The following is a 22,220-nucleotide window of genomic DNA, read 5'->3' on the forward strand; positions in this document are numbered from 1 at the left end:
TGCTATTTTACATTTTTCTGTGTGTTCACTTGTTTTATCTGTCTCTCATCAATTTCTTTTGACCCATACCTATTTGATTTTTTTGATGACCTTTGGAATGAATTTGGACAAAATCCTTAGGTAATGTAGATTTTAAGCTTTTCTCACTCAGTACTTTGTCCATTCTTTGTTGCTTTTTACCCTTCATTATGCCATCTTTTATGTATTGAAGTAATTTTGATATTAGATAGTCTAATCTGGTGATCCTTTTCCTTGTCAAGCCTGGACTTCTAGAATAATGGGAAAGAAATAGCACCAGAATTTGGAATCTTTTGAAGTTGAAGATGACTGCAGGATTCAGCTGCTTTTCTCTTTTATTTTGCCAAAAAGAAAAAAAAAGGCCTAGGGAAGTCATGACTTACCCATCTTTACACAATTAGTTGGGGCCAGAGTTGAAACCAGACACTAACTCTCCAAAATCTTTTTTCCCTCCTCATTCTATCACTATCTCTAATGAGTGACTTAGTTAATTTGGAATGAGAATGATGGATTTTGTATTTTGGTTAAAAAAAAAATCAAAGCATTTTCTTACCATAAATTATGTATTTTGTGGAGGCTTGCTTCTTATTAGAATACTATTACAGCTATTATATCTAGTGGAAAAGTACTATTTCTTTCTTTTTTTTGAGACAGAGTATTGCTCTGTCACCAGGCTGGAGTGCAGTGGTGCGATCTTGGCTCACTGTAACCTCCGCCTCCCGGGTTCAAGTGGTTCTCCTTCCTCAGCCTCCCAAGTAGCTGGAACTACAGGTGCATGCCACCATGCCCAGCTAATTTTTATATTTTTAGCAGAGACGGAGTTTCACCATGTTGGCCAGGAGGGTCTCAATCTCTTGACCTCATGATCTGCCCACCTTGGCCTCCCAAAATGCTGGGATTAGAGGCGTGAGCCACCACACCTGGTTGAAAAATACCTTTCTTTCTTTCTTTCTTTCTTTTTTTTTTTTTTTAAGATGGAGTCTTGCTCTGTCGCCCAGGCTGGAGTGCTGTGGTGAGATCTCTGCTGACTGCAGCCTCTGCTTCCGGGATTCAAGCGATTCTCCTGCCTCAGCCTCCTGAGTAGCTGGGATTACAGGCACATGCCACCACGCCCAATTAACTTTTGTATTTTTAGTAGAGATGGGGTTTCACCATGTTGGTCAGGCTGGTCTCAAACTTCTGACCTCGTGATCCTCCTGCCTTGGCCTCCCAAAGTGCTGGGATTACAGCCGTGAGCCACCGTGCCCGGCTGAAAAATACCATTTCTTATTCAGTTTTATATACTTTAAATTTTAGAACCACTTTGATCTCTTTTCTTTTTCTTTTTCTCTTTTTCTTTTTCTTTTCTGACAGGGTTTTACTCTGTCACCTAGGCTGGAGTGCAGTGGTACATTCTCAGCTCACTGCAACCTCCGCCTCCCGGGTTCAAGTGATCCTCCTTCCTCAGCCTCCCAAGTAGCTGGAACTACAGGTGCGCACCACCATGCCCAGCTAATTTTTATATTTTTAGCAGAGATGGGGTTTCACCATGCTGGCCAAGCTGGTCTCAAACTCCTGACCTCAGGTGATCCACCCGCCTCGGCCTCCCAAAGGGCTGGGATTACAGACATGAGCCACCATGCCCGGACAATTTATTTATTTTCTTTTTGAGACAGGGTCTCTCTGTCGCCCAGGCTGGAGTGCAGTGGTGCGATCATGGCTCACTCCAGCCTCAACTTCCCAGGCTCAAGTGATCCTTCCACCTCAGCCTCCCTGGTAGCTGGTACTATAGACACGCACCACCATGCCTGGCTAATTTTTTATGTTTTGTGGAGACAGGATCTTACCATGTTGCCCAGGCTGGGTCTCAAACTCCTGGGCTAAGCAGTGTCCCACCTCAGCCTCCTGTAGTGCTACGACTACAGACGCAAGCCACCGTGCCTGGCCAACTTTGAGAATTTAAAGTATTATTGTTGTTTAAGAGTAAAAAATGATCTGATTTTGACCAATATTTTGCCCAACAGGAAGCCAGCAGACCTGCAGAACTTGGCTCCCGGGACCCACCCACCATTTATAACTTTCAACAGTGAAGTCAAAACGGATGTAAATAAGATTGAGGAATTTCTTGAAGAAGTCTTATGCCCTCCCAAGTGAGTATCAAGGAAAATACGTATGAAAATATTGTCACTTCTTTGAAGCTTGTGTTATTTGTCAGTAGAGATCTTTCTCGCAGCATTAATTTGGAATGACTAGGACTCTCTTCTATGTTTCTTATAATTAATGCTACACAGATATAAGAATTGGCTTCCAGCTAGGCCAATCAGCCATACTAAGAAAGGTGGGGATTTGTCTAAGCTGTAGAATATGTGGTAGAAACAGATTTGGGATGTGTCTGATAGGTCAGGAAAGACTGGTTATTTGTGGACTGTAGGTCTCAAACTGAGAGAGAAGTTTAAAGAGGAGAAGGGGTGGGGAAAGACACATTCCAACTGAACCCAGTAAGAATGTCTTAGCAGGAGTGTGGCACAGGACTGCAATGAGATTTGATTTCAGTTCATTTTAAAGGTAACTTTCTAAAGCTATAATCCAAGGACATTGACTTTTCCGACTGTGTCCCTAGGATTCAGAGTTTTTATTTACTTACTTCTTTGAGGTGTTCCAGATCTCTAGGTCCTGGATGTACTGTAATGATAGTTACCTAAATTGCAGATATGCAGCTTTGCATCATACTGTAATATTGGCATAGATTCAAAGCATTATTTGTTTCTTTTAGGCTTTTCCAGTTTCATTATCCTGAAAATTGACATGTTTTGTTTCTACTGACCAAAACCTTTCTTACTGGTTAACTTGACTGTTGCCCTCCATGTCCAGATATATTTTCCAGGAATGGGATTATTGAGATGGAGGGTTCTAAAATAATTATAGGCATACCCTGAAGGGTATGGTTCCAGACCATTGCGAGTTAGGTTCCAGACCACAGTGATAAAATGAATATTGGAATAAAATGAGTCACGTGAAATTTTTCGTTTCCCAGTGCATGTAAAAGTTATATTTACAGTAGTATACTGTAGTGTTTTAAGTGTGCAATAATAGCATTATGTCTGAAAATATTGCATGTACCTTAATTTAAAAATACTTCATTGCTAGGCTGGGTGTGGTGGCTCATGCCTGTAATCCCAGCACTTTGGGAGGCTGAGGCGGATGGATCACCTGAGGTTGGGAGTTCGAGACCAGTCTGACCAACATGAAGAAACCCCGTCTCTACTAAAAAATACAAAAAAAATTAGCTGGGCGTGGTGGCAGGCACCTGTAATCCCAGCTACTCGGGAGGCTGAGGCAGGAGAATTGCTTGAACCAGGGAGGCAGAGGTTGTAGTGAGCCAAGATCGTGCCACTGCACTCCAGCCTGGGTGACAAAAGCAAAACTCCGTCTCAAAAAAAAATCATTGCTAAAAAATGCTAATGGTTATCTGAGCCTTCAGCGAGTCAATCTTTTTGCCGATGGAGGGTCTTGCCTTGATGTAGCTGGCTACTGACCGATCAGAATGGTGATTGCTGGTTGGGGTGGCTGTGGCAATTTCTTGAAGTAAGATAACAATGAATTTTTCTACATTGATGGACTCTTCCTTTCATGAAAGATTTCTCTGTAACATGCAATAGTGTTTGATAGCATTTAAAAATTTTAAAGTAAATATTCTTTGCCTGAGGCTAATCTCAAGAGGTCCTGAGAACATGCACCCCTGTTTGATAGTGTTTTTACCCACAGTAGAACCTTTTTCAAAATTAGAATCCATCTTCTGAAACCCTCCTGCTGTTTTAACAACTAAGTCGATGTAATATTCTAAATTCCTTGTTGTCATTTCAACAATGTTCTTAGCATCTTCACTAGGTATACATTCTATCTCAAGAAACCATTTTCTTTGCTCATCATAAGAAGCAACTCCTCATCCATTCAAATTTTATTATGAAGGTAGAACAATTTGATTACATTTTCAGGCTCCAGTTCTAATTCTAGTTCTCTTGCTATTTTCAACACATATGTAGTTCCTCCCTCCACTGATGTCTTGAACCTGTGAATGTCGTCCATGAGGGTTAGAATCCACTTCCTCCAAACTCCTGTTAATGTTGCTATTTTGACCTCCTCCCATGAATCATGAATGTTCGTGTTTTTTTTTTTTTTTTTTTTTTGGACGGAGTTTTCGTTCTTATCGCCCAGGCTGGAGTGCAGTGATGCGATCTCGGCTCACTGCAACCTCCACCTCCCAGGTTCAAGCAATTCTCCTGCTTCAGCCTCCTGAGTAGCTGGGATTACAGGTGCCTGCCGCCATGACCAGCTAATTTTTTTGTATTTTTTAGTAGAGTTGGGGTTTTGCCATTTTGGCCAGGCTGGTCTTGAACTCCTGACCTCAGATGATCCGCCCGTCTCGGCCTCCCAAAGTGCTGGGATTACAGGTGTGGTATGAGCCACCAGACCTGGCTGAATGTTCTTAATTGCATCTAGAAAGGTAAATCTTTTCCAGGTCACTTTGCTTTGCTCAGATCCATCAGAGGAATCACTTTCTATGGCCTTATGAAATGTGTTTATTAAATAATAAGACTTGAAAGTCAAAATTTATGGACTGCAGAATGGATGTTGTGTTAGCAGGCATGAAAACAACCATGATCTCCCTGTATATCTCTATCAGAGTTCTGGGGGGACTAGTGCATTGTCAATGAGCAGTAATATTTAGAAAGGAATCTTTTTTTCCTGGGCAGTGGGTCTCAACAGTGGGCTTAAAATATTTAGTAAACCATACTGTGAACAGATGGATGTGCCATTATCCAGGCTTTATTGTTCCATTTATAGAGCATCTGTAGAGTAGCTTCAGTATAATTCTTAAGGGTTCTTCAAATTTTGGAATGGAAGATGAGCATGGGTTTCAACCTAATGTCAACAGCTGGATTAGACTCTTAACAGAGTCAGCCTGTCCTTTGAAGATTTGAAACCAGACGTTGACTTTTTCTCTGTAGCTATGAAAATCATAGATGACATCTTTCAATAGAAGGTTTTGTCTGCATTAAAAATCTGTTTAGTGTAGCCACCTTCATCAATGATCTATCTAGAAGATCAATTCTAGATAGATCATTGTTGAAGGTAGATCAGATTTTCTAGATAGATCATCAGATGAAGGTGATGAAGGAAGATCTAGATAGATCAGCTAGATCTTCTAGATAGATCAGCTAGATCTTCTAGATAGATCAGCTAGATCTTCTAGATAACTGGCTGCATGCAGCTTCTGCATAAGCATTTGCTGCTTCATGTTTTACTTTTATGTTACAAAGATGGCCTCTTTCCTTAAACCTCACGAACCAACCTCTGCTACCTTCAAACTTTCTTCTGTAGATTTGTCACCTCTCTCTGCCTTGATAGAACTGAAGTGAGTTAGGGCCTTGATCTGGATTAGGTTTTGGCTTAAGGGAATGCTGTGGCTGGTTTGATTATCTGGACCACTCAAACTTTCTCCCTATTGGCAATAAAGCTGTTTTTCTCTATCATTTGTGTGTTCACTGGAATAGCACTATTAAATTTCCTTCAAGAACTTTTCTTCTGTATATGCTGTTTGGCTGTTTGGTGGAAGAAGTCTAGCTTTCAGCCTATCTCAGCTTTTGGCCTGTCTCAGCTTTCGACATGCTTTCCTCACTAAGCAGAATCATTTCTAGCTTTTGATTTAAAGTGAGAGATATGTGACTCTTCCCTTCACCTGAACACTGAGAGGTCATTGTAGGGTCATCAACTGTGGGCTAATTTCAACATTATTTTGTCTCAGGGAGCAGGAAGGCCTGAGGAGAGGGAAAGACAGGGGAACAGCAATCACTGGAGCAGTCAGAACACATATGATATTAATCAGTTAAGTGTGCTGTCTTATATGGGTGTGGTTTGTGGTGCCCCCAAAACAATTACAAGAGTAACATCAGAGATCACTAATCACAGATCATCATAACAGATACAATAATAATGAAAAGTTTTGAAATATTGCGAAAAATACCACAGTGTGACAGAGACATGAAGTGAGCACATGCTGCTGGGAAAAATGGCGCCATCTTGCTTGACTCAGGGTGCCATAAACCTTCAATTTGTAAAAAACGTAATATCTGCAAAGCACAATGAAGCAAAGCTCAATAAAGCAAAGCACAATAAGACAAGTTATACCTGAAGTTACTCAATTTGGTTTTTTTTTGTTTGTTTTGTTTTTTTTGAGACAGAGGCTCACTCTGTCACCCAGGCTGGAGTGCAGTGGCACAATCTTGGCTCACTACAACCTCTGCCTCCTGGGTTCAAGTGATTCTTGTGCTTCAGCCTCCCAAGTAGCTGGGATTACAGGCACCTGCCACCATGCCTGGCTAATTTTTGTATTTTTAGTGGAGATGGGGTTCCACCATGTTGGCCAGGCTTGTCTCGAAATCCTGACCTCAAGGTATCCGCCCACCTCGGCCTCTCAAAGTGCTGGGATTACAGGTGTGAGCCACTGTACCTGGCCCAGTTACTCAGTATTCATCCATTCATTTATTTATTGATTTATTCATTCTGCAAAGCATTAATGGACTACAAAGCACTGTGAATATATTAGTAAATAAAACACAGTTCTTGCCCTCAACAAGTACAGTCATGTATGGGTGGAGAGGTGTTTATGGTGGTGGGACGGGGAAGTGAATGGAATCAGGAAAGGCTTTAGAGAAGAGAGAACACTTGAACTGTCTTAATTTAAAAAAAAAAAAAGAAAAAAGATGTTCAGCAGTTGAACAAAGGAGTGACAGGTATTCCAGAGCAGAAGAGTCATTTTAAATCAATAGTATAAACATATATGTTATACACATACTATACAGAAATAGTATGTAATGTATATTATTATTAATATTATATGTATATTTGGGGGAGACTTGGAGTGGCTGGAATGTGATGTGCATGGTTGGGATGGTAGGCAGGAAGGCTGATGAGCAACAACACCTCTGTCTATAACTAGCTTCTCATCTGTTGTGAGCAGAATTGCCCTCTGGTTAACAATCTTGTGCTAAGCCTAATATTTTATTTTCTTAATTCTTTTTTTCTACTAAAATTCTACAAGCCTATCCTCTACTATCCTTCCTGCCCTTCTAAGAGCCTGGAGCTTCTTTTTTTCTCTACCTTCCCAGGAGTCCTAACCTTCCTTTCATCCCCAGTAAAGTATCTCCAGACCAACATTAAGAAAACCATGTCTTGATTTTTCCTTCAGGCCATGCATATAATTAGAATGCCAATAAATCAAAGCTAGGATATTTGTGAATATAAATTGAAGCTTTATACGTCTCAGTAGGGTACTATTGTGAACATGAATTCAACTTAGTGGAAATAACTTTTTTTTTTTTTTTGAGACGGAGTTTCACTTTTGTTGCCCAGGCTGGAGTGCAATGGCATGATCTTGGCTCACTGCAACCTCTGCCTGTCAGGTTCAGGAGATTCTCCTGCCTTAGCCTCCCAAGTAGCTAGAATTACAGGCGTCCACCACTATGCCCAGCTAATTTTTTCTGTTTTTAGTAGAGATGGGATTTCACCATGTTGGCCAGGCTGGTCTCGAACTCTGGACCTCAGGTGATCCACCCGCCTCGGCCTCCCAGAGTGCTGGGATTACAGGCATGAGCCACCGCGCCTGACCATAACTTTTTTTCTTTTTTTTTTGACAGAGTCTCTCTGTCGCCCAGGCTGGAGTGCAGTGGCACAATCTCGACTCACTGCAACCTCCGCCTCCTGGGTTCAAGCGATTCTCCTGCCTCAGTCTCTTGAATAGCTGGGATTACAGGTGCCCGCCACCATGCCCTGCTAATTTTTTTTGTATTTTTAGTAGAGACAGGGTTTTACCATATTGGCCAAGCTGCTCTTGAACTCCTGACCTTGTGACCTGCCCACCTCAGCCTCCCAAAGTGCTGGGATTACAGGCATGAGCTACCGCGCCCAGCCATACTTCAAAAAAAAAAAAAAAGTATGTATATATATATGTATATATATATATATATAGACAGTATCTTGTACTGTCGCCCAGGCTGGAGTGCAGTGTTGCTGTCCTGGCTCACTGCAACCTTGAACTCCTAGCCTCCTGCCTAGGATGATCCTCCTGCCTCAGCCTTCCAAATAAGTGGGACCACAGGCATGCACCCTATGTCCCACTTCTAGGTCCCTTTTTGGTCTTTTTTTTTTTTTTTTTTTTTTTTTGAGACATGGTCTTGCTCTGTTGCCCAGGCTGGAGTGCAGTGGTGTGATTATGGCTCACCACAGCCTCGACCTCCTGGGCTCAAGCAATTCCCCTGAGGCACTGGGAGTACAGGTGTGTGCCACCATGCCCAGCTAAGTTTAAAAAAATTTTTGTAGAGATGGGGTCTTGCTATGTTGCCCAGGTTGGTCTCAAACTCATGGACACAATCAGTCCTCCTGCCTCAGCCTCCCAAATTGCTGGGATTACACATGTAAGCTGTCATGACTGGTCCCTTTTTAGTCTTAAAAGTGTCAGCTCAGAGGTAGGTTCCATATTTGCCAACTTGCTCTCAGACACTAACTGAAAATGATCTTCCTCTCATGTCACTGTAGATCATTGTATCAACATTAAATTATAAATGGAGAAGTAGTTTGAATTATTATTCATTCTCTATGAAGGAAACTATTTTGTTTTAAAGTATTGTCTGAAGTGCTTATTATATAAATTCTTCCAAGTATATATAAGTTTTTAAAATTAGTGTGCTGAAAACATACATATGACTTTAGTTAAATGGACATTTCCTCATATTCTCTTACATCCTTCAGCAACAACAACAATGAAGACTTTTGGGCTGGGCGCGGTGGCTCATGCCTGTAATCCCAGCACTTTGGGAGACTGAGGCGGGTGGATGACTTGAGCTCAGGAGTTCAAGACCAGCCTGGGCAACATGGTGAAACCCTGTCTCTACAAAAAAATACAAAAATTAGCTGGATATGGTGGCAAGTGCCTGTAGTCCCAGCTACTGGGGAGCCTGAGGTGGGAGGATTGCTTGGGCCTGGGAGGCAGAGGTTGCAGTGAGCTGAGATCATGCCACTGCATTCCAGCCTGCACGATACAGCAAGACCCTGTCTCAAAAAAGAAGAAGGAAAAAAAAAAAGAATTTTCATTATTCTTGCTCATTTCTCTCTGAGGGAAAGTGACATTAAGAGAAATAGTAAAGTTAATATGGAATATTCTGGATTCTTAGCATCTAATGCTCTGTAAGACATCATAGCTTTAAATTGGACCTTGAAAACAAACATTTTCATATTGCTTTTTTATATAAAAATTCTAGCCCCATTATATTTGAGCATATTCATAGAAACATTGTAACCAGAGATGGTCTTTTTCATTCAGTTTAAATACATAGGAATCTTTGTGTTATAAATGTTCATAGTGTGCCAAATCCCCTGTAGGGGTAAAAATTTTTACTTCTTCTTTGTTTTTTCTTTGTTTTGTTCTGTTTTTGTTTAGAGACAGGGTCTCACTCCTTGCTCTGTCACCCAGGCTGGAATGCGGTGGTGCAATCTTACCTCACTGCAGCCTCAACCTCCCAGGCTCATAATCCTCCTGCCTCAGCCTCTTGAGTAGCTGGGAGTACAGGTGCACACCACCACGCCTGGCTAATTTTTGTATTTTTTTTGTTGAGAGTAAGATCACTTTCAATTGGAGTCTGAGAACAGGGTCTCGCCGTGTTACCCAAGCTGTGGCCTTGAACTCCTGGGCTCAAGCCATCTGCCCACCTCAGCCTCCCAAAGTGCTGGGATTACAGGCGTGAGCCACCGTGCCTGGCCAGGGATTGTTTTTGATGCTGCTTATCCCTCTGCTGTTATTAATAACACTCAAGTACTAATTATGCACCATGCATTGTGCTTTGTGGGTTATTTTGTGGATTATCTCTGTTAATCCTCACAAAGACTTTGTGAAGAAACTGAAGATGTAATCCAAATAATTTGTCCAAGGTTTCACAGTTAATGGTGGCAGAGCAGGGATACTTTTGAAGCCACATCAATATGACTTCAAAAATCTGTGTTTCATCTGTTCTCTGCTTTCTGCTTCTTATTTTATTGGGTTTGGCTTTTGTAAAAGAGGGAAAATGTTAAGTCTTTAATTGGGATTGTGCTTTAATGAGTACAAAATTGAAAGCTAGCTCAAGTTTAGAGGAAAGGTAGGAGAGAAATCAAAGATAGTTTACTTGACTGTGAACAAGTGGGACCAAAGGTGGTTATTAAACTTAATTCAGTGAATTCTTTTTTTTTTTTTTTTTTTTTTTTTGAGGCAGAGCCTTGCTGTGTCGCCCAGGCTGGAGTGCAGTGGCAGCATCTTGGCTCATTGCAACCTCCACTTGCCAGGTTGAAGCAATTCTCCTGCCTCAGCCTCCTGAGTAGCTGGGATTACAGATGTGCACCACCACGCCTGGCTAATTTTTGTATTTTTAGTAGAGACGGGGTTTCACCATGTTGGCCAGGCTGGGACTTCAAGTGATCCGACCTCCTTGGCCTCCCAAAGTGCTGGGATTACAGGTGTGAGCCACAGTGCCTGCCCTTACTTAATTCAGTGAATGCTTTGAAAAAGCAGGTGAATCTTAACTCTTCTGATGAATTTTTATTTATTTGTATGCATTGAAACAGCATGTTTGAAGTGGGAATGTCGCCTTCTTAGTGGGCTCTATGGACCCAGAATGTGAAATGCTAATTAATTAGCATAATTTTCATCATGCAGAATTGTTTCTAGGGGATGAGTGGGAGGAGGAAGAGTTTCTGGGATCACAAGCTGCATTTATTTTCCTTCCCTCTATTGTGCTATATTGTTCTAGGGCACCCAGGGACCATTCTGTCTCACTGCCTTTTCCTTCCAGAACAAGGAGGTCTCAGGTCTTTATTGCTAGTCTTCTTCAGGCTCTGCTTGTAAGACTGTTTCTAAATAGGATAAGGAGAAAAAGGAGAAGAATTGTGCAAGCTTGTAGACTGGAATCTAGCATTTCTAATAACATGTTTTTGTCATTTGATGTACTGAGAACTGAGTGGTTTTTTGTGAACACTTCCTGATTTAATCATGACAAATATAAATACAGGCAATTGTCTATTCTAGAGTTGCTTAACATTGAGAGGCTAATGAAAAGCTCAAATCAGATAACTTTTACTGGTATGTGTGGCTATAGGTTTTAAAGTGAACTTTTTCTTCTTCTCTGGGGAAAGTATTTTTGTGTATGTTTTATAGTTCTTGCTTGAATGAAGAAACCACTTTGCTAAAAAACTTTGAGACTTGGATTTTTAACTGAAACAGCCTAGATATACTTAGCTAACTTACTGATAAAAGGATAAAATAGAAGGAAGCGAGATAAATTTGGAGGGGCATGCTATAAAATGTTATTAAACCTTTTTTAAAAATGAGACATACAGGCCGGGTGTGGTAGCTCACGCCTGTAATCCCAGCACTTTGGGAGGCCAAGGCGGGTGGATCATGAGGTCAGCAGTTTGAGACCAGCCTGACCAACATGGTGAAACCCTGTTTCTAATAAAAACACAAAAAATTAGCTGGGCGTGGTGACGGGCGCCTGTAATCCCAGCGACTTGGGAGGCTGAGGCAGGAGAATCGCTTGAAACCGGAAGGCGGAGGTTGCAGTGAGCGGAGATTGCGCCACTGTACTCTAGCCTGGACAATAAGAGCAAAACTCTGTCTCAAAAAAAAAAAAAAAAAAGACATACAAAAAAGGAATTTACAAGGCTAATCAGCCTTCATTTTTATATTTACACCAGAAAGGAGAAAATGCCTGAGATCTTTCCTAAAAGCATGGAAACATTCTTAGCTAGTCTAAAATGTTAAGAGTCTGTGATGTAAGCAGAATTAAGGACTTATCTGAAAGTCTAAATACCCTGGGTGCTCATGTCTATTCTGTCATTGACACTTAGCCTTTTATTATTTGCCTCCCTTTTGCTAAGTGTTAAAATGAGTTCTCACAATAATTGAAAACCATTGCTTGATCAAGCTATTTGCTAAAGCCAATAATAATGCATAAATTACAATGTAATGTTTGGGGAAGATGCAAAAAAGTTGATTTTGAACCTACTGGTTTAGAATTTGATTTATCTTTTAGAGATAATCTAATCTGTAATAGAAACAAACAAACAAACAAAAACACTAGACCTGGGGACAGGAGATTTCAGTTTTAGTTTGTCAATACTTTTTTTTTTTGAGACGCAGTCTCGCTCTGTCACCCGGGCTGAGTGCAGTGGCATGATCTCTGCTCACTGCAACCTCTGCTTCCTGGTCTCAAGCAATTCTCCTGCCTCAGACTCCTGAGAAGCTGGGATTACAGGCACCCGCTACCATGCCTGGCTGATTTTTGTATTTTTAGTGGAGACAGAGTTTTGCCATGTTGGCCAGGCTAGTCTCGAACTCCTGACCTCAATTGATCCGCCCACCTTGGCATCCCAAAGTGCTGGGATTACAGGCATGAGCCACTGTGCTTGGTCTCGTTTGTCAATACTTTTAATTAGCTGAGTGATTTGGGGGCCAAGTGTGTAAGCTTTCTGGAACATAATTTCCTTTTAGGTAAAATGAGAGATCTGAGGTGAACATTCTCTTATAGCTATACTATTCTGTGCATTAAATTAATAGTACAGGCTGGGTGCAGTGGCTCAGGCCTGTAATCCCAGCACTTTGGGAGGCTGAGGCAGGAGGATCACTTGAGCCCAGGAGTTCAACACTAGCCTGGGCAACATGGGGAAACCTCGTCTCTACAAAAAAATACAAAAAGCTAGCCAAGTGTGGTGGCACATGCCTGTAGTCCCAGCTACTCAGGAGGCTGAGGTGGGAGGATCGCTTGAGCCCAGGAGGTTGAGGCTGCAGTGAGCAAGATCCTGCCACTACACTCCACCCTGGGTGACAGAGGGAGACCCTGTCACACACACACACACACACACACACACACACACACACACACACAAAAGTACAAAATTAGTAATACATCTCAGAGGGACAACAGGGCATATTACAAGAATTACACTGTATGTATGAATGATGAATATATAAATGATCTGTAATTCAAGCCTGCCTTCCCGAAAATTATTTTAAGAACTATGAGGCTTACTTCATTAGTACAATTAGGTACAGCTAAATAGTGGTTGCGGAAAAGGAGAATTTGGGAAACTTGGCTATAGGAAGACATAGATGTATTGAAAAGGCATTATGTTCACTGCGCTATTTTTTGTTTGAAATGAGTCAATGATGGTCCTGTATCACAAGCAGTACAAACATTTAAACTGGAGGCTTGTTTGTATAGTCAAGGAAAATCCAGGGATGGTGGATCTGTGATTAACTGTTTCAGCCCAGGCAGAAACAAAGAAAATGGAGAGGGTAAAGGGCCCTATAGTTGGCGATGTGTGGTTAATGTATGGCTAGATAGATATAGATATCTAAATTCAGGTGAAACTCACTGTAATTTTTACAGAAAAACTCTTTATGTAAATAATTGTGTTTATAAGATAAATCTTTAAGCTTAAAAAATGAGAGCTATCTAGAGACTAGGTACACTTATTAAAAAAGATGTCTTGAGCATATAGGTGTTCCATAGATATTTTATATCTTCCTTACCAATATAGTACTCTGCCCAATATTTAGAAGATATATCTCTTCCTGAATTCAAAATAGTAAACAGAAGATACATGAATATAAAAGCTGAAACACAACTTGCAACTGAACTGAATTTTGAAAACTACTTCCCCTTCGTTTTTAAAGAAAGCTGGCAAGACAATGTCTTCAAATAAATGAGTTGAAATAATTAGTACACTGTAAGGTTTTTTCTAAAGTCTTATTGCTCCCAAGTCCATTTTCTAGTGACGTTTTGCAGGACCTTCAAGCTGATTAATCTTCCCTAAAATGGGGCTAAGAATCTGAATTCTTCTAGCCCTGACTCCTGGGGCTGACATGAGTCCTCCTAAAGGGAAGATGAATAATTGAGCTTTTTCATATATTTTCCAGTTTGAAGAAGAAATATACACAGAGTATGTGTGTTTTAAATCTAAACAGTGAAATATACATTTTTGTGTGTGTTTTAGAAAGCTGGTGTATTACATCTGTTCTAAAAGTAGAAAAATTTGACAACACAATAGAACACTTGTCAGTGTGCTTTCTGACATCTCATTTTGTTGTTGTTCGGTGCTACCCTCATAAATATTCTAGGGAATGTGTAATATAAGGGAGGTTTTGGGAAATCCCAGGTGTAGGTTTCAAGCGATTGATCCGCCTCCTTTTGTTTTTGTCCTTAACCTGCTATGGGTGATCATGATGCTTGACCAGCCTAGGCGCTTTTCCTGCCGTTGGGGTTCTCTGGCTGGTTTAGTGCAGGACATACTAAGGATCTGGTTGGCACTGCTGTTTGAGAAGGCGCGTGAGCTGTGCTGTCTGGTGACTACTGAGCACTTGAAATGTGACTAGTGCAACTGAGGAAGTGAATTTTTAATTTTGTTTGTGATTAATTTAAATTCATATTCAAATAGGTACATGGCACTAGTGGCTACTGTACTGGACAATGAAGATAGAGAACATTTCCATCATCACAGAAAGTTCTCTTGGACAGCACTGCTCTAGCAATCTCATTCCAAGACTCCCATTGGCCTGGCAGAAATCTCTGAACAAGTCAACTGTTTCCCCAGCATTCTAATTTATCAGATGGAGGTGGAGTGCACATGCCCTGTGGTTGCCAAGAATATTAATATGTGAACAAAAACATAGTGCAGAGCTTTGTCTCGTAAGGAAAAAACAGTTTTTAAAAATACCATAGAAAACAAATGATGGTATTTCTTATAGTAATAACTATTAAAAGACGTCTAGTAACTGCTAGCATGGTGGTTTGAGAGAACTTATGCTAATTCATCTTTGAAGGATCTATAATCCATATCACTTTTTCTATTTAGGTACTTAAAGCTTTCACCAAAACACCCAGAATCAAATACTGCTGGAATGGACATCTTTGCCAAATTCTCTGCATATATCAAGAATTCAAGGCCAGAGGCTAATGAAGGTAAAAAACAAAAACTTGAATTAACATTGCAACAAAAAACCCCAAACAACAACAGGCTGTTATTATGACAGTGATTATAAATGAGTACTTTAGAGTCCAGCCATTCCCATAAGTAATAAAAACTGTCTTTCAGAGTTGGTCAGAAATTGGACAATAAACTGGAATAAGTCCCTATGTTGCTATTTTTCCATGTTTCTAGCTAGTAGCACAGTATATAGTAAGTGTGTGATAAAATGCTTCTTGAATGAAGTTTATTTCATCTTATTTTGAGAAGTTACTGTGAAGGGAGCTAGGCAAAGAATTAATGGTGCATCAGAAACAGTGGATTGTGTGGTTGTGGTGGTTTAGCATAGATTGGTTGAGCTTAATTTAAACTGTAACTAAATGTTTATTGTTGAGTGCCTGCAGCCTAGAGTCAGTCTGAGGTTTTTTTTTTTTTTTTTTTGCTTTGTTTTGTTTTTGTTGTTGTTGTTTTTGCTAATTACCCTTGAGCAATGTTTGGAGTTGCTTTAAGAGGGTAATTAGACATACTATCCTTCCAAATTTCTCTGCATCTTCAAGCTGGAATTTCATTTTCAAGTCATGTTTTCGCGGTAAGAGTTGTTTAGGTAGTACAGATGCAATTTTCTTTTATTTATTAAAGGACACTATTTTTATTATTTTATTCACCAAATGAATGTATAGTGTAGGGAGGTCTCTTTGGAAGAGGTTCCATTCAGTGAACCTTGTCTTAACTACAGCATTTAGTAATTTCCTTTTCTCTTCGGGATGTTAAGCAGAGTTCTCTCTGGGGAAAACTGTGTAGCACACATTAGTGTTTATTTGAAAGTAACCCAATAACCAAAAATGCTAGCTTCTAAAAATATTTATCATAGTTCCAGATAGTTTCCTAGCTTGAGTGGGATTCTTTTGAGAAGAAGTTTATGTCAGCAAATGAACAAGAATACCAAAGGGGAAAATATCAGTGCTGGTTAAACAAGAATGAATATCTTTTTAAAAAGTGAAATACTTGCTAATTTCCTTATGTTATTTCAGTACTATTATTATAAAATGCTGCAATTTTAAAATTTAGTATTGGATTCCAATGTCTTTTGCTCTTGATTTTTGGAATAATACTTAACTACATGAAATGTTTTTCTACAGTGAAGGGAAAAAAGGGAAAAATGTTAGTGCTCAGGTCTGGCTTGTATCTGTTAATAATGTATTCCAGTAGCTGCCATGGTTTGGAAGCAATTTTCTTTAGTAATTGGCTTTTTTTTTTCCTGACTAATGTTTCTGTCTAAGCAATTTATACATTAAGCAAGTGGTTATGTTGGAGCCCCTCCTTTCCACAGACAGTGTCTTTTCTGTTCTGCGCTTCATGCGAGCTAACTGTTCTTTTCATAAAACTACCCTTTTATACTTAGATGCCCCTGCTGCATACTTCTTTGAACAATCTTAGTTACAGTTATGTTTTTATTTTTCCATGTGGTTTTTTGGGAGTTGGAGGGTGGTTAAATTTCTTCTGACACTTAGTGGGGAGGAGAAAGGAATAAAATGTGTTTGCTTCCCCTTTGAGGGATGAGGATGGGGCGGGGTGGGGGTGGGGCGGGAATAAAAAGGTTAGAAAGTGACTCATTTAAGTATAACTTTGTATTCTATTTTTTCCCTATCAATTTGTTATTATCTTAAGTAGCCACCTACTCTTCCTGTCCTCAGAATGCTGTAACCAATAAGAACAAACAACATAATATAATACATGGTACATAATCTAGAAGGCTTTATATTAAATTACCTGCTGGTAAATAAAAGTTCCAGTTGCCAAGCAACTTCTCTCCACAGGGACCTGTTGAGGCCATGACACTTTAGAAAACAATATTTCAAATCACTTTGGAGCTTAATGGGCCCTCCTTATGTATGTTTGCCGCAGGCCTCAGATCCATTTAGTGCAATCAAATGCCTTTAGTAGTCCTAGGAAATTAGTGATTCTCCTTTTTATTTCCCCCAACCCCCACCCAGATGCTGACAATTTACACAGAGATGAATTTGTCGTTTTACATGGTAAATCAGAGTAGACAAGTCTGATTAGTTTTACCACCTATTAAATATTTTCAAAATCCAATATGTTTGGACAATTTTAAGACCTTTTAGGACTTAATTCTAAGTAAGGGATTCAATGCCTGAATGCTACAGTTTTGGGCTAATGAAACTGAAATAGAAGGGCTAGTGGTTAGGTTGGGGTACAAAGTAAACAAGTAAAATGTGAAGAATAAAGGGAGAGACACTGATGATAGATAGATAACACATATATAATTCTTTTGATAACACGTTCAAGTTGATTGGGAGTAAAAGTTTATGTAACCATTTAGGCAGTCAAAGAGAAGCTCATGGGTAATTTCTTTTGTGGGGATGTATTAAGTATGACCTGTCCCCAGATCTCCTACTTTTTTTAAGTTCTGTGATGGCATTAATTTATGTAATTTGCTAAGGTCCCAACTGTGACTAGTCATTGATATTTATAATACTCAGTCATTGATATTTATAATACTCATAAAAGAGATGTGAACTTAGCATTGTTGAATGTACTCTGAGGCATATTTCATGATGTCCAAATTCCTATATTTAGATGGAGGCAAGGAATCTAGAGGTTCTGATTAGTTCCTTTTTATTCAGGATCCTCTCCTTTCTCCTCTCCCCACTACTCCTGCCTTTCTCTCTGGAAAAGTGTTGGAAGTCAGAGGATGGTTGTGCATTATTGTAGCAGTAAGCCTGCATTGTATATTGAATTATCTTTAAATACCCATTACCTCTTTCTATTTTCCACTGATGTGTAACTTAGCCTTAAAACTTGTTTGTATAAGGTTACCCTTTATTAAGACTGCGGTAGGTAGCTTGAAAATATGGTTTTATCCATGTCAGTGCTTACAATTTTTAGTCTTTGTTTTAGTCATTGTAAATTATCTTGTTTTTCAATAACCGAAGTGCTCTTATTACATTTAATGTTTTCTGCCTTGAATTTTACTCATTCAAATCATACAAATAACAGAGAATACATGATTGTTGAAAAAGTTAAAATAGTATAGAAATAAATTTAATAAAACTTAATTGCCCCTCTTTAATCACATTACATGACCTCTTCAACAATTTAGTGTTCTTTTTTCTATGTAATTTTGCAAACATTTCTGTAAGTACGTATTATGTGCATACATTATGCAGTTATACTTTTCACTTATATGGTAGAAATGCTTCTATATCAAAATATAGATCTACCTCAATTTTTAGAAATTCTGCTTTGTATTTTATAATATGGATTTTCATTTAACCATTTCCATGTTGATAGACATCTAGATTGTCTCAAGTTTTTTTTTTTTCTTCACTATAATAAACAATGCTGCTGGTGAATGTCCTTGAGCTAGATTCCAAATAGTTCAAAAAGTTTGTGCATTTTAAATTTTGCTCTATTTTGCTAAATTGTTCTCCAAAAGTCTATACCAGTTTATATTCCCACAAACATGAAAGTATTCATTACCCTACACTTAGGACCCTGGTGTGTGTTAATCTTTGTAATTTTGCTGTGTTCTCTTAGACAAGAAAGGGTGTTTTGACTTTCATAATTACTTTTAAACTGATTTTGTTGCTCTGTTGCACTTAAAAATTTTTTGAGAGCTTTATGAAATAGCTTCTTAGGGATACCAGCATTACTACATCGGGGTATTGGAGAATAATAGTGCTACTTATTAGCTATAAGACAGGGAGCTACTTTGTGATGGCTTGCTACTGCCTTCTAGTGGTTAATTTTGACATTTTCTTTATATTTACATACTCCTTTGTGATGATTGGTCTTGAAAACTGTATTGTGTTTATTGAATGATGCTGTTTAGTACTTTTTGATATTTCTGTTTGTGTTTGTTTTATTGGCCATACCTTATGTTGATACATATAATTGTATCAAACTAATTCATCATTCTTTGTTTTCATTAATATACCCTTGTTATGACATTCTTAACTATGAAAAATTACTAACACCGTAGTCAGGTATAGCAATTCGACTTCATCAGAAGTGCTTTGCTAAGTACAAAATTATAGAGAAAACAGTCATTGTAATGTTATGCTAGACTCTTAATTTTCTTTTGAAAAAAATTTATTTAAATGAGACAAGGTCTCACCACATTGCCCAGGCTGGTCTTGACCTCCTGGACTCAAGCAATCCACCCAGCTTGGCCTCCCAAAGTGCTGAGATTACAGGCGTGAACCACTGTGTCTTGCACTGACGAATACTATGTTATAAACCTTGTAAATTTAGGATATTTGATTTTTATATATATAATTCAGGAAAAACATTAATTTAGAGCAGGTCTAAGGTTAAACATTTGCTCAAAAACTTGTCAAAACACTCAAATAGCATTTGAGACAATAATTCAATGTTTGAATTCAGGCAACATTATCTTCCCCACAGACTGATTCCATTCATTGTAATCTGATCAAAGAACAAGTCCTTGTACTCTAATATGTTCTTGTTCTGCATTCACTACTTTTATTTTTTTGGTTTTTTGTTTGTTTTGTTTAAGAGTCTTGCTCTGTCACCCAGGCTGGAGTGCAGTGGCACGATCTCGGCTCACTGCAACCTCCACCTCCCGGGTTCAAGTGATTCTCCTACCTCAGCCTCCTGCGTAGCTGGGACTACAGGCGTGCACCACCATGCCTGGCTAAGTTTTGTATTTTTAGTAGATACGAGGTCTCATCATGTTGGCCAGGCTGGTCTTGAACTGCTGACCTCAGGTGATCTACCTGCCTTGGCTTGCCAAAGTACTGAGATGACAGGTGTGAAGCACCATGCCCGGCCATGCATTCACTGCCTTTAATAAGAAGCATATTAACTCTTGTTTTACAACCTTGAGATTCTGCTCTCTCCTTTTCTCTTTTTTCCTCTTAAATATACCCATAGAAAGTGTTTCATCGTTTCCTGGAATTCTTACTGACCTAGCTGTTTCTCACATTGTATTCTCCTGTTAATTTATAAACTTTACATTTCAGCTAACTATATGCATTATTGCTGGCCTGAATATAATTAATAAAAATTTATGTTTATTATTTTATGTTTTTGATTTTTTATTTTTTTTATTTTTTATTTTTTTTTTCTTTTGAGCAGTAACGTTTTATTTTTTATTTTTTTATTTTTTATTTTTTTTATTTTTTATTTTTATTGATCATTCTTGGGTGTTTCTCGCAGAGGGGGATTTGGCAGGGTCATAGGACAATAGTGGAGGGAAGGTCAGCAGATAAACAAGTGAACAAAGGTCTCTGGTTTTCCTAGGCAGAGGACCCTGCTGCCTTCCGCAGTGTTTGTGTCCCTGGGTACTTAAGATTAGGGAGTGGTGATGACTCTTAACGAGCATGCTGCCTTCAAGCATCTGTTTAACAAAGCACATCTTGCACCGCCCTTAATCCATTTAACCCTGAGTGGACACAGCACATGTCTCAGAGAGCACAGGGTTGGGGATAAGGTCACAGATCAACAGGATCCCAAGGCAGAAGAATTTTTCTTAGTACAGAACAAAATGAAAAGTCTCCCATGTCTACTTCTATCCACACAGACCCAGCAACCATCCGATTTCTCAATTTTTTCCCCACCCTTCCCGCCTTTCTATTCCACAAAACCGCCATTGTCATCATGGCCCATCCCCAATGAGCCGCTGGGCACACCTCCCAGACGGGGTCGTGGCCGGGCAGAGGGGCTCCTCACTTCCCAGTAGGGGCGGCCCGGCAGAAGTGCCCCTCACCTCCCAGATGGGGCGGCTGGCCGGGCGGGGGGCTGACCCCCCCACCGCCCTCCCGGACGGGGCGGCTGGCCAGGCAGAGGGGCTCCTCACTTCCCAGTAGGGGCGGCCGGGCAGAGGCGCCCCTCACCTCCTGGATAGGGCGGCTGGCCGGGCGGGGGGCTGTTCCCCCCACCTCCCTCCCGGACGGGGCGGCTGGCCGGGCAGAGGGGTCCTCACTTCCCAGTAGGGGCGGCCGGGCAGAGGCGCCCCTCACCTCCCGGACGGGGCGGCTGGCCAGGCAGGGGGCTGATCCCCCCACCTCCCTCCCGGACGGGGCGGCTGGCCGGGCGGGGGGCTGACCCCCCCCACCTCCCTCCCGGACGGGGCGGCTGGCTGGGCAGAGGGGTCCTCACTTCCCAGTAGGGGCGGCCGGGCAGAGGCGCCCCTCACCTCCCGGACGGGGCGGCTGGCCAGGCAGGGGGCTGATCCCCCCACCTCCCTCCCGGACGGGGCGGCTGGCCGGGCAGGGGGCTGACCCCCCCACCTCCCTCCCGGACGGGGCGGCTGGCCGGGCAGGGGGCTGACCCCCCCTCCCCCCTCCCGGACGGGGCGGCTGGCCGGGCGGGGGGCTGACCCCCCCACCTCCCTCCCGGATGGGGCGGCTGGCCAGGCGGGGGGCTGACCCCCCCACCTCCCTCCTGGGCGGGGCGGCTGGCCGGGCAGAGGGGCTCCTCACTTCCCAGTAGGGGCGGCCGGGCAGAGGCGCCCCTCACCTCCCGGACGGGGCGGCTGGCCAGGCGGGGGGCTGACCCCCCACCTCCCTCCCGGACTGGGCGGCTGGCCGGGCGGGGGGTTGACCCCCCCACCTCCCTCCTGGACGGGGCGACTGGCCGGGCAGAGGGGCTCCTCACTTCCCAGTAGGGGCGGCCGGGCAGAGGAGCCCCTCACCTCCCGGCCGGGGCGGCTGGCCGACCCCCCCCCCCCCCCCCCGCCTCCCTCCCGGACGGGGCGGCTGGCCGGGCAGAGGGGCTCCTCACTTCCCAGTAGGGGCGGCCGGGCAGAGGAGCCCCTCACCTCCCGGACGGGGCGGCTGGCCGGGCAGGGGGCTGACCCCCCCCACCTCCCTCCCGGACGGGGTGGCTGCCGGGCGGAGACGCTCCTCACTTCCCAGACGGGGTGGTTGCCAGACGGAGGGGCTCCTCACTTCTCAGACGGGGCGGTTGCCAGGCAGAGGGTTTCCTCACTTCTCAGACGGAGCGGCCGGGCAGAGACACTCCTCACCTCCCAGACAGGGTTGCGGCCCAGCAGAGGCGCTCCTCACATCCCAGACAGGGCGGTGGGGCAGAGGTGCTCCCCACATCTCAGACGATGGGCGGCCGGGCAGAGACGCTCCTCACTTCCTAGATGGGATGGCGGCGGGGAAGAGGCGCTTCTCGCT

General features: G+C 41.9%; 1 protein-coding gene across 1 annotated transcript in view; it reads left to right on the top strand.

Moving 5' to 3' along the window:
• Positions 1-22,220, top strand: part of CLIC4 (chloride intracellular channel 4) — a 98,875-nt gene that overhangs the window by 66,626 nt on the left and 10,029 nt on the right. The window contains exons 3-4 of the mRNA NM_013943.3: positions 2,022-2,147; positions 14,938-15,044. Of these exons, the coding sequence (NP_039234.1) occupies positions 2,022-2,147; positions 14,938-15,044 (233 nt within the window). The remainder of the gene's footprint in view (positions 1-2,021; positions 2,148-14,937; positions 15,045-22,220) is intronic.

This window comes from Homo sapiens, chromosome 1 (assembly GCF_000001405.40).
Source record: "Homo sapiens chromosome 1, GRCh38.p14 Primary Assembly".
NCBI classification, from domain to species: Eukaryota; Metazoa; Chordata; class Mammalia; order Primates; family Hominidae; genus Homo; species Homo sapiens.